This window comes from Homo sapiens, chromosome 4, assembly GCF_000001405.40.
Source record: "Homo sapiens chromosome 4, GRCh38.p14 Primary Assembly".
Taxonomy (NCBI): domain Eukaryota; kingdom Metazoa; phylum Chordata; class Mammalia; order Primates; family Hominidae; genus Homo; species Homo sapiens.
The window spans coordinates 39,289,460-39,304,437 of NC_000004.12; the positions used below are offsets into that span (position 1 = coordinate 39,289,460).

Sequence of the window (14,978 nt, forward strand, 5' to 3'; positions counted from 1 at the left end):
AAGACAAGAATGTTTTGCTCTAAGAAACTTCTACAAAGCAGTTTAGTGGCTATAGCAAAACATAAGCAACAGAAGAAACTGTTTTGTTACAAACATTTTTCTTGAAAGCATACACCAATGGCTAGATAAATAAAAATGGTACTTTTTCTAACAGAACATATGGCCGTCAATATCATGGCCTGTTTTCTTGCTGTTTGGCTCTTCGACTACCATAAGAAACTTTATAAAAATGAAATCTCTACCTTCTCCACCCTCAACCATGATGAACAAAAAAACTTAAGAAGTATTTTCAAGTTATTCTGCTATGTGCTGAAAAGGCCCTATTATTCACCAGGCAAGGAAAGATCATCTATTTTGAGGTTCTCCTGTCTGTGGCTTAAAATACTACCTTGATCATGGCATCAGTTTCTATAGCATCTTGGTCTTTCTCATCAGATTGAGAGTCATCTTCATTTAATTCTTCATTGTATTCCGAATCCAGGGATGGGCTTGTGCTGTGTCTAGATGCCTTTATAGCTTGAAGTGAGTATGGAGTAAGGTGGGCTTCCTTATTGTAAGCTCTTGTGAAGGCTGCTTTCACCTATATGAAAGGAGTAGATGGAGTTTTTAAAAATCTAAGTCCCAAACAATTCTTTTAAACTCTGTAAGCCTAAAGAGACCCTGGGAGCCCCCTGCAACTGTTTGCAAAGTATTTATGTATATACATGTAAATCTAAGTACGTGCATTTTTCTGTGGATAAGTTCCATATTTTTCATAACATTCTTAATAGAGCCCATGACAAAAAAGACTGAAGGTGGGGCACAGTGGCTCATGCTTCTCCATGAGAATCTTGAACCCAGGAGGTGGAGGTTGCAGTGAGCTGAGATTGCGCCACTGCACTCCAGGCTGGGTAACAGAGTGAGATTCTGTCTAAAAAAAAAAAAAATACGTATATATATATTTGGGAACTTTAGGCAAACAAACAAACAAAAGGTCACTTCAAGTCATCATGTTTACCTATTCAGCATTCTCCACATTTCTACAAAGTAGTAAGCAAAGTTAATCAGTGAATCAGTAAATCAAAAAGGGGCTCGGCTGGGTGTGGTGGCTCACGCCTGTAATCCCAGCACTTTGGGAGGCCAAAGCAGGCAGTTCACATGAGGCCAGGAGTTTGAGACCAGCCTGGCCAACATAGGGAAACCCCATTTCTACTAAAAATACAAAACTTAGCCAGGCGTGATGGAGTGCACCTGTAATCCCAGCTACTTGGGAGGCTGAGGCATGAGAATGGCTTGAACCCGGGAGGCAGAGGTTGCAGTGAGCCGAGATCGCACCACTGCCCTTCAGCCTGGGCAACAGAGCTAGACTGTCTCAAAAAAAAAAAAAAAGGTTGGGGGAGCTCATCACAAGATATAAGTTGGCCTTTAATTTCCACAAAACACTAGATACCTTTTCCATAATAAGAGTAGTTACTTCAAAATACTAAGTAACTTGAAAGTCTTACCTTCAAGCTTCTAAACATAATTCCTGAATTAGTCCATGAATTCTAACAATGGATGTCTGCTGTGAGAATTTACTGATAACCATAAAGTCGGGTCAAAATTCTGGGGAGGGCAAACTACAGAGAATATGTCTTCTAAAACGCATTCATTACACAGGTGCAAGAGTTGGGTATTGGATGTTACATATTCATGATGTATCACTTTAGTTTTTTTCGTCTCATTATAAGAAAAGTGGGGATACATTATTACAGAGAAGATTATCCAACTGGAATAAATACTGAATCCACAGATTAGGTAGACTAAGAAAAAGAAAATTTGTACAAATCCTCAGCCAATAAACATATTTTATTTTTACAACCCATTACCACCAGAGCTCACCGCTCAACTTTTAATTCCCTAGACTCATCCACTCATCCTTTATAAAGAATATATTTATATTTGCTCCTCAAATTTCACTTCTTGCTTTTCCACTGAGCATAAAGCAAAGATAAAAATACAAATTGTAAAGTCAAGCCCAGAAGTCTACTCTTAATACTGCATTCAAATAGTATCTTTGGAAAATATAGGCCATAAGAAGCAACAAGCATTTGAGGGGAAAAAGAAGTAAATCTTAAAGCATCTAAAACACCTCCGAAGTATTGTCAGTACAAACCTGGTAATAGAAAGTGACGAAGAACCAGTGAGTGACATGATTTACCTTGGGATCCAGCTTTGAAAAGGGACTAGGTTTGCCACCCCAGCTGCTGATTTCCATGATATTCTCAAAGTCTTCTTTCATCAAATAATATGTGTCCATAAGTGCAACAACATCCTGTACTCCGTCTACTCCTTGTGAGGTCAAGGGCTGTACAAGTGCATCCCTTAGAAGCGACAGATAATCCATGTTTACAGTCCTTTTGCTGGAGTAAGTTCTGAAACCACAACAAAAGAGACATAGTCAACAGCAAAGTATCAACTCAAGTCATACTGTGCATAACAGCACTGAGTTAATCAGGCAGAGTTCAATCCAATTTCAATAATGCTGAATGGAATGCCTACTATTTGACAGCCAGCTGGTGTAGTTTAGAAAGCCCAGCACCACAGCATGAGGGTAATGGGTACACATCAATGTGCCCAAAGGAAATTTTCTACTTACCTACATCAGTGACTGAAAAACATACGTGGATTCTACTTCCACCCTACTCTTAAGGCCCAGGCAACAGAATGTTTCTTTGTGTTCATAAATATGACTCGTTCCAAGTTCCAAAATATTAAAAGCATCAGTATAAGGCAATGAAATTCCCTATCTCAAGTGTGTGAATGTGTATAACACCTTTTGGTCCCTGATTATAACACACAAAATCATATATGAATGCTTCCCTCACATTTCCTAATACTGTTACTCTGAAATCGTCAGTTCTAGAGCCGGCTTTTCTCCAAATCTAAGAAAATTACAGAGTGTTCCCACAAAATCAAAAAGTGATCCACAGTGGCCAGAGGAAGGTTTAGGGAAACAGTCTCTGGTCTGCTGAGAACTCGAATGTTATCATAAAATGACTCTTTCTTTCTCTCTTAAATGTTGTCACTTCTTAAAGACAGAAAGCAACTGAACAAAACAATATTTCAAATGCCACCATCCTAAATCTTTCCAACCCAGCTGCCTCTATCTTCAAACCAGGCATTTATATGTATACATTATTTATTTATTTATTTATTTATTTATTTATTTATTTATTTAAAGACGAAGCCTCACTCTTGTTGCCCAGGCTGGTGTGCAGTGGTGCAGTCTTGGCTCACTGCAACCTCCACCTCCCGGGTTCAGGAGGTTCTCCTGACTTAGCCTCCCAAGTAGCTGGGATTACAGGCACCCGCCACCACACCCGGCTAATTTTTTTTTTTGTATTTTTAGTAGAGACAGGGTTTCACCATCTTGCCCAGGCTGGTCTCAAACTCCTAACAGGTGATCCACCCGCCTTGGCCTCCCAAAGTGGTGGGATTACAGACGTGAGCCACCGCACCCAGCCTGTATACGTAAAACTTCAAAAGTTGTTGTTATCAGAACCAGCATCAGAAGCAAAAAGAAATGATTCTTTACAAATTGTCTATGGGTCCTGCTCCTGCCTTCAAGGAACTGAATGTGTGAACCATAAGAAGCCACAGCTTTTTTCCTGATCAGAAATCTAGACTCACCCTCGCAACTATTACCTAGACAAAGAGTTTTTAAAACTCTCCTAGTTTAATTTCATCCATTTCCTCTAGATTGTCTTCCATAATTAAGCACGCTAGTACTTAAAGGAAGCAGTGTGAGTCCCTAAGCCACAGTACCCCCAGAAATCATGAAACCATTTCCAAAACTGTTCTACAATGTTTTACAGTATCATCATCTTCTAATAGACTCATAGAAAAGTCAAAGATGCCATTTAGTGCACCTAAACCAAGGGTTCTTAACCTCAGGAATCTGTAATTCCCCTAAAAGTGTTTTCTTTGTGGATCTGTGCATTGTCAGGGGAATAAAAATCAAAGCATTCAGATTCTCAAAAGCATCTATGACTCCCAAAAAGGTTACAAACCAATAAGATCACTCTTCCATTTTTTAAAGAAGAGAAACGGACCTACAAAAAGTTCAGTGACTTGATCAGGGTTAAAAAGTAGGGAGGTCTTAATTTACTTTAAAAATTATGAATTCACTATAAATGTCTTTGCTGATAATAATGGCCTAAATATGACCCAACTACTAGATGAGGAGGCCGCAGTTCCCACCCCCAAAAATGTTTGGTCTAATGAGGGAAGAGGACAGTGAAGAATAGCCATAAAACAACCCGGAAGTCCAGGGCTCAAAATCTACATGGAGTCTAGCGGGAGCATCTGAGAGGGCTACCCTAGGGCAGAGCAACCCATGACCTTTAAAAACGCCAGGTAAGGAGCAGGAAAACAGCAAGAGGCAGCCGCAGCCTTGCCAATGAGAAGAGCCATGGGGAAAGCAGACTTTCCAGCTTCTGGAGGCCACCTGCATGTCTTGGCTGATGGTCCCTGTCTCTCTTCTCAAGGCCTGGCGTAGCATCCTCAGACCTTTCTGACTCTGACACTACTGACTCCCTTTATGAAGACCCTTGTGATAACTGCACAGATAATCCAGGAAAATCTTCCCAGCTCAAGATCAGGACTGAGGGTTGATGCCTTCTAAGATCTTGATAAATTTGTGTTGTTTTAAGCCATTATGTGTGTTGTAATTTCTTACAACAGCAACAGAAAACTAATACATGGGTAGCACAAAAGACTCATGCCATAGGTTAGAAAGAGAACAAGATAATAAAATAGAATTTTACAGGAACAGAAAAAAGGAACTAGCTCAGGTCAGCTCTAACCAAAACTTAAAAGTGGAATGGGGGATCAAATATTAATATTCCTTCCAGGGACCAGATGGCAAATTAAGATCACTCAAGTAGTTCATGGTTAAAAATGAATCCAGGGGCCGGGCGTGTGGCTCACGCCTGTAATCCCAGCACTTTCGGAGGCCAAGGAGGGTGGACCACCTGAGGTCAGGAGTTCGAGACCAGCCTGACCAATATGGTGAAACCGTCTCTACTAAAAAATACAAAAATTAGCCAGGTGTGGTGGCATGCACCTTAGTCCCAACTACTCAAGAGGCTGAGGCAGAAGAATTGCTTGAACCTCAGAGGTGGAGCTTGCAGTGAGCCAAGATCACACCACTGCACTCCAGCCTGGGCGACGCAGTGACACTCTGTCTCAATAAAAAAAAAAAAAGAAAAGAAAAGAAAAAAAAGAAAAATGAATCCATAGGCCAGGCATGGCGGCTCACGCCTGTAATCTCAACACTTTGGGAGGCCAAGGCAGGCAGATTACTTGAGGACAGGAGTTCAAGACCAGCTTGGGCAACACGATGAAACCCCATATCTACCAAAAAATACAAAAATTAGCCGGACACGGTGGCGTGCGCCTATAATCCCAGCTACTCAGGAGGCTGAGGTGGGAGAATCACTTAAACCCGGAGGTGGAGGATGCAGTGAGCAGAGATCGCATCACTGCATTCCAGCCTGGGTGACAGAGTGTGACCTTGTCTTAAAAAAGAATAAAAAGAAGAATCCATAAAGTGTACTTAATATTTATGCACATTTTCCAAGTTTCTAAAGTTCAACAAAACTGTACCAAATGCAAGTATTTTTGAACTTCCTTAAACTTTTCCAAGCACATTCATTTTCAATGATCTGAGCAGCCTCCTCCTGTTACATGCTAAACTGTTATTTCCTATCCCAAATGACTAGGTCAGTTTACTACTAGAGTAAATTGGTAAAAAATAGTTCATTTCTTTAAATAGTTCAATTATTTTCCTATTAATTATTCTGAAGCTGCGAAGCTATTCCCACTAATAGGCATAATAACAATAACAGTAACAGTGCCACCTCAGACTTACGCAGTCTTTAAAATTTTAAATTATGACATCTACCATTTTATTGTCCAAAGTATCCTTTTAAGTGGCAAAACAAGTGTTATACTGATTACAGATGATAAAACTCAGGCCCATAAAATATAAGGAACTTATCCAGGATCATTCATCTAGTTACCAATAAAATAAAAACTAAAACACAAATCTTTTGACTCACATGATCATTACTGGATAAAGGCCAAATACACCAAATCGATAAAATACCCGAAACAGAGTAATCCCACCTACCTGAGACTCATATGCAAGGCCAGGTCCTGAACAATACGATCATGTTTGCCTGTAGACGAGTGCTTCCCCAGCCAGCTTGGGAAGGTGGGAAACTGGGTCATGTACCCCCTCATCAACTCTCCAGGAAGAACACTGGCATAAATGGCCTGAAAAAAAATCAATTGCAGTCCAGAATTTATGTTCCGTACAAAGTTACTTCCTTAATAGTCATTGGCTTCCAAACAGTCTACGGAAGATAAAGCAACACTGTACCAAATACCTACCTACAGGGCAGTCAGACCCTTTCTATAACTCTGATCTGCTGGTACAGGAAACTTCTCCCAGAGAAAACAACAGATTGCGGTACACACCTTGATCCAACATGTTATGGCCCTCAGGGAGATCATGTCGCCAACTCAGCCTCCTCAAGCAACTAATCTCAACATACCGGTTACCTCACCGATGCCAACGTCACAGCAAATAATTACTTAAGAGGGATATGATGGTCTTTAACATAAATGACTGACAACATAGGTAGATTAAAGCATAGAAAGACTAATGATTACGGTCAATTAAACTGGCATTTGAGAAAAGTTTTTTAAAAATGTAACCTTAGATGTCTTCTATGTCCAGGGTTTTCACTTTCTTTTTTTTTTTCTTTTTTTTTTTTTTATTATACTTTAAGTTTTAGGGTACATGTGCACATTGTGCAGGTTAGTTACATATGTATACATGTGCCATGCTGGTGCGCTGCACCCACTAACTCGTCATCTAGCATTAGGTATATCTCCCAATGCTATCCCTCCCCCCTCCCCCCACCCCACCACAGTCCCCAGAGTGTGATATTCCCCTTCCTGTGTCCATGTGATCTCATTGTTCAATTCCCACCTATGAGTGAGAATATGTGGTGTTTGGTTTTTTGTTCTTGCAATAGTTTACTGAGAATGATGATTTCCAATTTCATCCATGTCCCTACAAAGGACATGAACTCATCATTTTTGATGGCTGCATAGTATTCCATGGTATATATGTGCCACATTTTCTTAATCCAGTCTATCATTGTTGGACATTTGGGTTGGTTCCAAGTCTTTGCTATTGTGAATAATGCTGCAATAAACATACATGTGCATGTGTCTTTATAGCAGCATGATTTATAGTCATTTGGGTATATACCCAGTAATGGGATGGCTGGGTCAAATGGTATTTCTAGTTCTAGATCCCTGAGGAATCGCCACACTGACTTCCACAATGGTTGAACTAGTTTACAGTCCCACCAACAATGTAAAAGTGTTCCTATTTCTCCACATCCTCTCCAGCACCTGTCGTTTCCTGACTTTTTAATGATTGCCATTCTAACTGGTGTGAGATGGTATCTCATTGTGGTTTTGATTTGCATTTCTCTGATGGCCAGTGATGATTAGCATTTTTTCATGTGTTTTTTGGCTGCATAAATGTCTTCTTTTGAGAAGTGTCTGTTCATGTCCTTCGCCCACTTTTTGATGGGGTTGTTTGTTTTTTTCTTGTAAATTTGGTTGAGTTCATTGTAGATTCTGGATATTAGCCCTTTGTCAGATGAGTAGGTTGCGAAAATTTTCTCCCATTTTGTAGGTTGCCTGTTCACTCTGATGGTAGTTTCTTTTGCTGTGCAGAAGCTCTTTAGTTTAATTAGATCCCATTTGTCAATTTTGGCTTTTGTTGCCATTGCTTTTGGTGTTTTGGACATGAAGTCCTTGCCCATGCCTATGTCCTGAATGGTAATGCCTAGGTTTTCTTCTAGGGTTTTTATGGTTTTAGGTCTAACGTTTAAATCTTTAATCCATCTTGAATTGATTTTTGTATAAGGTGTAAGGAAGGGATCCAGTTTCAGCTTTCTACATATGGCTAGCCAGTTTTCCCAGCACCATTTATTAAATAGGGAATCCTTTCCCCATTTCTTGTTTTTCTCAGGTTTGTCAAAGATCAGACAGTTGTAGGTATGCGGCGTTATTTCTGAGGGCTCTGTTCTGTTCCATAAAAATATGGAACGCTTCACGAATTTGCGTGTCATCCTTGCACAGGGGCCATGCTAATCTTCTCTGTATCGTTCCAATTTTAGTATATGTGCTGCCGAAGCGAGCACTTCACTTTCTTAAAGGCTGGAATTATAGTTTACATAAATTTTGTATGCTGCTTTACTCTAGTAATTCCCTCACAAGCACTTTTTCATATTAGATAATCTTTGCAAATAGTTTTAAAGGCTATAAATACTTCTTCAAGAGGATTCATCATAATTATTCTCCTACTGCTAGACATGGAGATTTTCTCCAACTTTTTGTTATCAGAACACTTTAGGAAGTATTTTTGTACATTAAGCTTTTCCTGTGTTAAAACATTATGCCTTTAAGCTACAATTATTAAGTAAACAAAACAAAACACATAAAATGTAAAAGAAAAGATTCTGGGCCAGGTGCAGTGGCTCATGCCAGTAACCCCAGCACTTTGGGAGATGGGCAGACAGCTTGCACCCAGGAGTTCAAGACCAGCCTGGCCAACATGGCGAAACCCCGTCTCTACAACGAATACAAAAATTAGCTGGCATGATGGCGCACACCTATGGTCCCAGCTACTTGCAGGGCTGAGGCGGGAGGATCACTTGAGCCCAGGAGGGCAAGGCTGCAGTGAGCCATGATCACACCATTGCATTCCAGACTGCCTGACAGAGTGAGACCTTGTCTCAAAAAAAAAAAAAAAAAAAAAAAAAATTCTGTATCTCCAGAATGAAATTTTGTTTCTTGTTTTCAAGCAATGTGTGAGTGGAATCAAGAGAAGCATTAGGCTTTCTGGAAGCGTCTTACTTATTTTATTACTCAGGCCAATAATCCTGTATAACTATACAAAAGTCAAAAAGAACGAATAACTCTCTTAATTACAAATGTCTATCAAATTCTGTTTCGAGTTAAAGATCTCAACCTAAATACAGTACCCAATATAAAACTGCCTTTTTAGCAAGGAAGAAAATCCGAATGAATGCATCAGAGACATGGCTGCTGGCCTGCCCTAGCTGCACTGCTTCTAGAAGCCGCTACTCAGTGACCACCTGGGAGAGCCAAGAATGACCAAAAATAAAAAAACAAGGATTCTTAAGGTAAAACACAGCAAATGAAACTTTTGATTCACATCTTACAACCAAAATCTAACATTCCTATTTCTATGTGTCCATTTACATTAAAAATTTTTTGAAATATAGAAAAATAAGGCCAGATTGGGCCGGGCGCAGTGGCTCATGCCTGTAATCCCAGCACTTTGGAAGGCCAAGGCGGGCGGATCACGAGGTCAGGAGATTAAGACCATCCTGGCCAACACTGTTGGGAACAGGCCCCCCAAAATCTGGCCATAAACAAAATCTCTGCAGCACTGTGACATGTTCATGATGGCCCTAACGCCCACACTGGAAGGTTGTGGGTTTACGGGAATGAGGGCAAGGAACACCTGGCCCGCCCAGGGCAGAAAACCGCTTAAAGGCATTCTTAAACCACAAACAATAGCATGAGCGATCTGTGCCTTAAGAACATGCTCCTGCTACAGTTAACTAGCCCAACCTATTCCTTTAATTCGGCCCATCCCTTCATTTCCCATAAGGGATACTTTCAGTTAATTTAATATCTATAGAAACAATGCTAATGACTGGCTTGCTGTTAATAAATACACGGGTAAATCTCTGTTCGAGGCTCTCAGCTCTGAAGGCTGTGAGACCCCTGATTTCCCACTTCACACCTCTGTATTTCCGTGTGTGTGTCTTTAATTCCTCTAGTGCCGCTGGGTTAGGGTCTCCCCGACTGAGCTGGTCTCGGCAAACACAGTGAAACCCTGTCGCTACTAAAAATACAAAAAATTAGCTGGGCGTGGTGACGGGCGCCTGTAGTCCCAGCTACCCAGGAATCTGAGGCAGGAGAATGGCATGAACCCAGGAGGCGGAGCTTGCAGTGAGCCAAGATCACGCCACGGCACTCCAGCCTGGGCAACACAGCAACACTGTCTCAAAAAAAAAAAAAAAAAAAGAAAGAAAGAAAAAAGAAAAATAAGGCCAGATTAGGAAACAGACGATAGTTACCACAGAGTATTATAATCTGTAACAGACTATATTTTTGCCACAAGAGCCATAACATTTATCTGGTATTTAAAATAACTACAGGATTAGCTGGGTATGGTGGCGGGCACCTGTAGTCCCAGCTACTCAGGAGGCTGAGGCAGGAGAATCTCTTGAACCCGGGAGGCAGAGGCTCCAGTGAGCCGAGATCATACCACTACACTCCAGCCCGGGCAACAGAGCGAGACTCGATCTCAAAAATAAAGTAAACAAAATAAAATAAAATAAGTACAGCAGCTAAAAGCTATTTAGTTCTCTTAGTAAAAGCAGAGCCTGCATGTTAGGGAGAGCCCTCTGCTCACCTGCGCAGGCAGAAGACTCCAGTTTTGCTTACTCCGGATCTGGCTGTCCACTAGGTCACCATCGCATATGCTGTCTGCTGCTCTGCTTAAAAGCATCAGGTGCTTTTTCATGTCACCCCTGCAGGAAAGAACCAGTCTGGATTATCCCACTCTCCACACCCCAGGTCCCTTCTTCACGGGTATTTAGCCTTCGCAGTGCTGGATACTAAGCACACCTCTCACCAGCTCTGGACACTCACCCTGCTGCTACAGGCTTCACGTGTATGTAATTTTCCTGGACGAAGAGGGGTGCTATTGAATAATCATGAAAAAAGAGATCTGACTTGTCCACAAGTGACATGTGAGCAGTCTCCTCTCCAGCTGCAAACACTTTCCGGGCAACATCAAATGGGCCCTGAAAAAAGAGAGGGACACACCTATTAGAATGGCCAAAATTCAAAACGGTAACATCACCAAATGCTAACGAGGATATGGAACAAGAGGAATTCCATTCATTGCTGGTGGGAATGCAAAACTGTACCGTTTGGTAGTTTCTTACAAAATTAAACATACTCTTACCACGCGATCCAGCAACCACGCTTCTTGGTATTCACCCAAATGAAACTATGTTCACACAAAAATCTGCACAGGATGTTTACAAGCAGTTTTATTTATAATTACCAAAAGTTGTAAGCAACCAAGATGTCCTTTTAGTAGGTAAATAAACAATTTAACTGTGGTACATTCACACAATGTAATATTATTCAACATTAAAAAGAAGTGAGCTATCAAGCCATGAAAAGACATGGGGGGGCAGGGCATGGTGGCTCACCCCTGTAATCCGAGCACTTTGGGAGGCTGAGGTGGGCGGATCACTTGAGGTCAGGAGTTCGAGACCAGCCTGGCCAACATAGTAAAACCTCGTCTCTACTAAAAATAAAAAATTGGCCAGGTGTGGTGGCAGGTGCCTGTAACCCGAGCTACTCAGAAGCCTGAGGCAAGAGAATCACATGAACCCGGGAGGCAGAGGCTACAGTGTGCCAAGATCACACCACTGTACTCCAGCCTGGGTGACAAAGCAAGACTCCGAAAAAAAAAAAACCAAAAAAAACAAAAACAAAAACAAAAAAGTTATGGAAGAACCTTATATGCCATTACTACGTGAAAAAAGCCAACTGGAAAAGTCCACATACTACATGATTCCAACTATACCACATTCTGGAAAAGGCAAAACTATGGACACAGTGAAAGGATCAGTGGCTGCCAGGGGTTGTAGGGAGGAAAGCGGAAAGGAAGAATGAACAGGTAGAGCACAGAGGATGTTCAGGACAGTGAAACTATTCTGTATGATACTACAATGGTGAATACATGTCATTTGTCAAAACCACACAACGTACAACACCAAGAGGGAATGCTAATGTCAACTACGGACTCTGGGTGATAATGAGGTATCACTGTAGGTTCATCGATTGTAACAGATATACCACTGTGGTGGGGGATGTTGGCAGTGGGAGAGGCTGTGCGTGTGAGGGGGACATGAAGTATGTGAGAACTCTCTGTACCTTCCACTCCATTTTTAATCCATAGGCCAGGCATGGATCACCATGTTGGCCAGGCTGGTCTCAAACTCCTGAGCCTCAACTGCTCTAAAAAATAAAGCGTATAGGCCAGACGTGGTGGCTCACACCTATAATCCCGGCACCTTGGGGGCCACAGCAGGAGGATCACTTGAGGCCAGGAATTCAAGACCAGTCGGGGAAACATAGCGAGACCCTGTCTCTACCAAAAATTTTGAAAATTTAAATAAATAAGAAAGTGTATTAACTTTTTTAGAACCTGCTTAATCATTGCTCTAACTATAAATTCTGATTAGCAACTAGGTAAAATACAACACAGAGGAAACTGATACATACCTCTAGTTTCAGAGAGGTCATTAAACTAAACCATTTGACATGGATTATTCTGAACAGTGCAAAACCATTCCAAACACGAAAGCCAAACATAAAGAACTCTGGAAAAGCCATTTTATAATTGTTGAAGCATAAGTATAATTTAAAATTTATCCCTTTCTCAAAATTTATAATTGACATTGACAATCTTTGAGAAAAAAATCATTTGAATTAGAAACACTTTCAGCAGCTGTCTATACTTCCTACTATATATCCCTGGATTCCACAGGCATACCAAGGAACTATAATAACTACTTCTATCAAGCTACCTACAGAACAAGAAGTGTTTTGGCTTAGGAAAGTAACTAAGACATGGACATTTATTTTACCATTTTGATATCCTTTTTGGCTCTGTGAGAATCAGCTTTGGCCTGGTCATAGGTTAATGCTTTACTTCGTGCACACCACATACTCAGATTATGTAAAACCTAAAAGAATCACAAATAAGACAACGTCAAGATAGGAAAATCCTGTTGCTCCCCATCCCTACAAGGTTGAAAGCATTAGTTAAAAATAATCAACAACTGTTACATGATATATATTTAATTTACCTGTCTGATATCTTGATTGGCTCCCAAAATTATTTCATTCATAGCTGGAGGGGGAATCTTTAAACCTTCTTTAAATGCAATAGACATCATAGCACCCTGAAATTGACAAGGGAGGAGTCCTCAATGATTTTTAACTCATATAATCAGGTATTTTAAAAATATTTATCAGGTACTTTTAAAAATTGACCCTTAAATAAATAGGCTAGTGTGATGGAAAAAAAATTTCAATCATCATACCTTAATCTGTTCAACCCGAGGTCTTTGAAAACGAAGATCAAAACAATAATGAACCAGAGAGCGAATCTTGGGATGATTTCTATCATTGCACATACAAATAATGGGAATTTTAGTATGTTTTATCAGGCCAATTAATTCCTGAAAGGCAAGTTTGCAACACAAAAATAATTATTTTAAAAATGACAAATACCACACAAGCTATTTTAGGTTCTAAAAATCTCCTCAGCAACATGCCTTAACTGCCCTAAGTATGAGAGAATGACAATGTTCTAACAATCTAAATTATCAACAGTGAAACTGCAAAAATACAGCACTTGAATTACCTGAATTCCTCCCCTATCCTCATTGCCTGCCATGCCATCTACTTCATCCATGATGAGAGCATGTTTCGTGCTTACTGAAGAGGCTGCTCCATCTGACCCAGGTTGAGGAGCAATGGGATGAGACAAAAACAAAATAACAATTGCTCAAAAACTGCTGCTCTGTAGAAAATTATGTAACAGATATTAAACTTCAAAAGCTACAAGAATATGCAGCACTGGACTACAGAGTGTTGTTAAAGAAAAAAAAAAAAAAAGAATATGCAGAGAAGAGAAACTCTCCCTGCCACCCCTTCCCCTGCAGACCCCAATTCCCTTCCCAGAGGCAAACAACAGTCTCTTATATGTCCTTTAAGAGATATTGTACACATATGTGCATAAAAATATACAACTGAGTTTTGAATTTTTTTTTTTTTGAGACAGAGTTTCACTCGTTGCCCAAGCTGGAGTGCAATGGCACGATATTGGCTCACTGCAACCTCCGCCTCCCGGGTTCAAGCAATTCTTTTGCCTCAGCCTCCCAAGTAGCTGAGATTACAGGCGCACGCCACCACACCCAGCTAATTTTTGTATTTTTAGTAGAGACGGTGTTTCACCATGTTGACCAGGCTGGTCTCAAACTCCTGACCTCAGGTGATCTGTCCGCCTCAGCCTCCCAAAGTGCTGGGATTACAGGCGTGAGCCAACATGCCCAGCCAGTTTTGTCATTTTATGTATTTTGGTGATTCATTCTTTATCTTACAGATACAGAACACTTCATTTTTTAAGGCAATTTAATACTCCATTCTACACTTGTATCACACACTTTACTTAATCACCATTAATGAAATATATAGGATGCTTCCAAGCTTTTTTCTATTATGTCATACTAAATGACTATCCTTATCTATATGGCATATATATGCCACTTTGCACATATAAAATAATAGCTAAATTCCAGCAATTGGAATTTCTGGGCTAGACGGTATGTGTAATTTGAGAAATATTGCTGGACTCTCTCCAGAGTTGTACCAATCTACCCTCCCACCAGCCACGTCTAAGAGTGACATTTCCTGAGCAAATTATTTTGAACAATGTGAAGGCACCAAGAATTCAGGTGACAAAACAACACACCATAGACTCTAAATAGGCACTGTGCGGTCCTTAACTTGAGCATCTTATTTTCCATGAACTCTGGCCATAGAGGACCACTAGCTACAACCTGAAACACAGTGGGCATTTGCACACTGTCTTCTCTTTTACTACCTTTGCCTGCAGTGACCTCTTCCACCTCCAAATAGTTTTCTTTCTCATTCTTTGAGGTCTTTCAAAACAATTATCACCCCTTTAACTCAATGCCCCAAGCATAATTACTTCTTCATCTGCTGGCCTTATTACCTCA

At 40.6% G+C, this 14,978-nt stretch overlaps 1 protein-coding gene and 1 pseudogene across 7 annotated transcripts in view; both read right to left on the minus strand.

Annotated features, from left to right (window-relative positions):
* Positions 1-14,978, minus strand: part of RFC1 (replication factor C subunit 1) — a 78,907-nt gene that overhangs the window by 2,004 nt on the left and 61,925 nt on the right. For 6 of the 7 annotated variants that reach the window (XM_047416054.1, NM_001363495.2, NM_001363496.2 and 3 more), the window contains 9 exons: positions 13,601-13,692; positions 13,278-13,415; positions 13,041-13,136; positions 12,819-12,917; positions 10,801-10,955; positions 10,562-10,679; positions 6,155-6,300; positions 2,180-2,393; positions 389-580 (listed from right to left, as the gene is read on the minus strand). In XM_047416054.1, the coding sequence (XP_047272010.1) occupies positions 389-580; positions 2,180-2,393; positions 6,155-6,300; positions 10,562-10,679; positions 10,801-10,955; positions 12,819-12,917; positions 13,041-13,136; positions 13,278-13,415; positions 13,601-13,692 (1,250 nt within the window). Of the gene's footprint in view, positions 1-388; positions 581-2,179; positions 2,394-6,154; positions 6,301-10,561; positions 10,680-10,800; positions 10,956-12,818; positions 12,918-13,040; positions 13,137-13,277; positions 13,416-13,600; positions 13,693-14,978 lie in introns of those variants that run through there. The other variant, XR_007057951.1, reaches the window with a different exon arrangement.
* Positions 8,147-8,252, minus strand: RNU6-32P (RNA, U6 small nuclear 32, pseudogene; annotated as a pseudogene).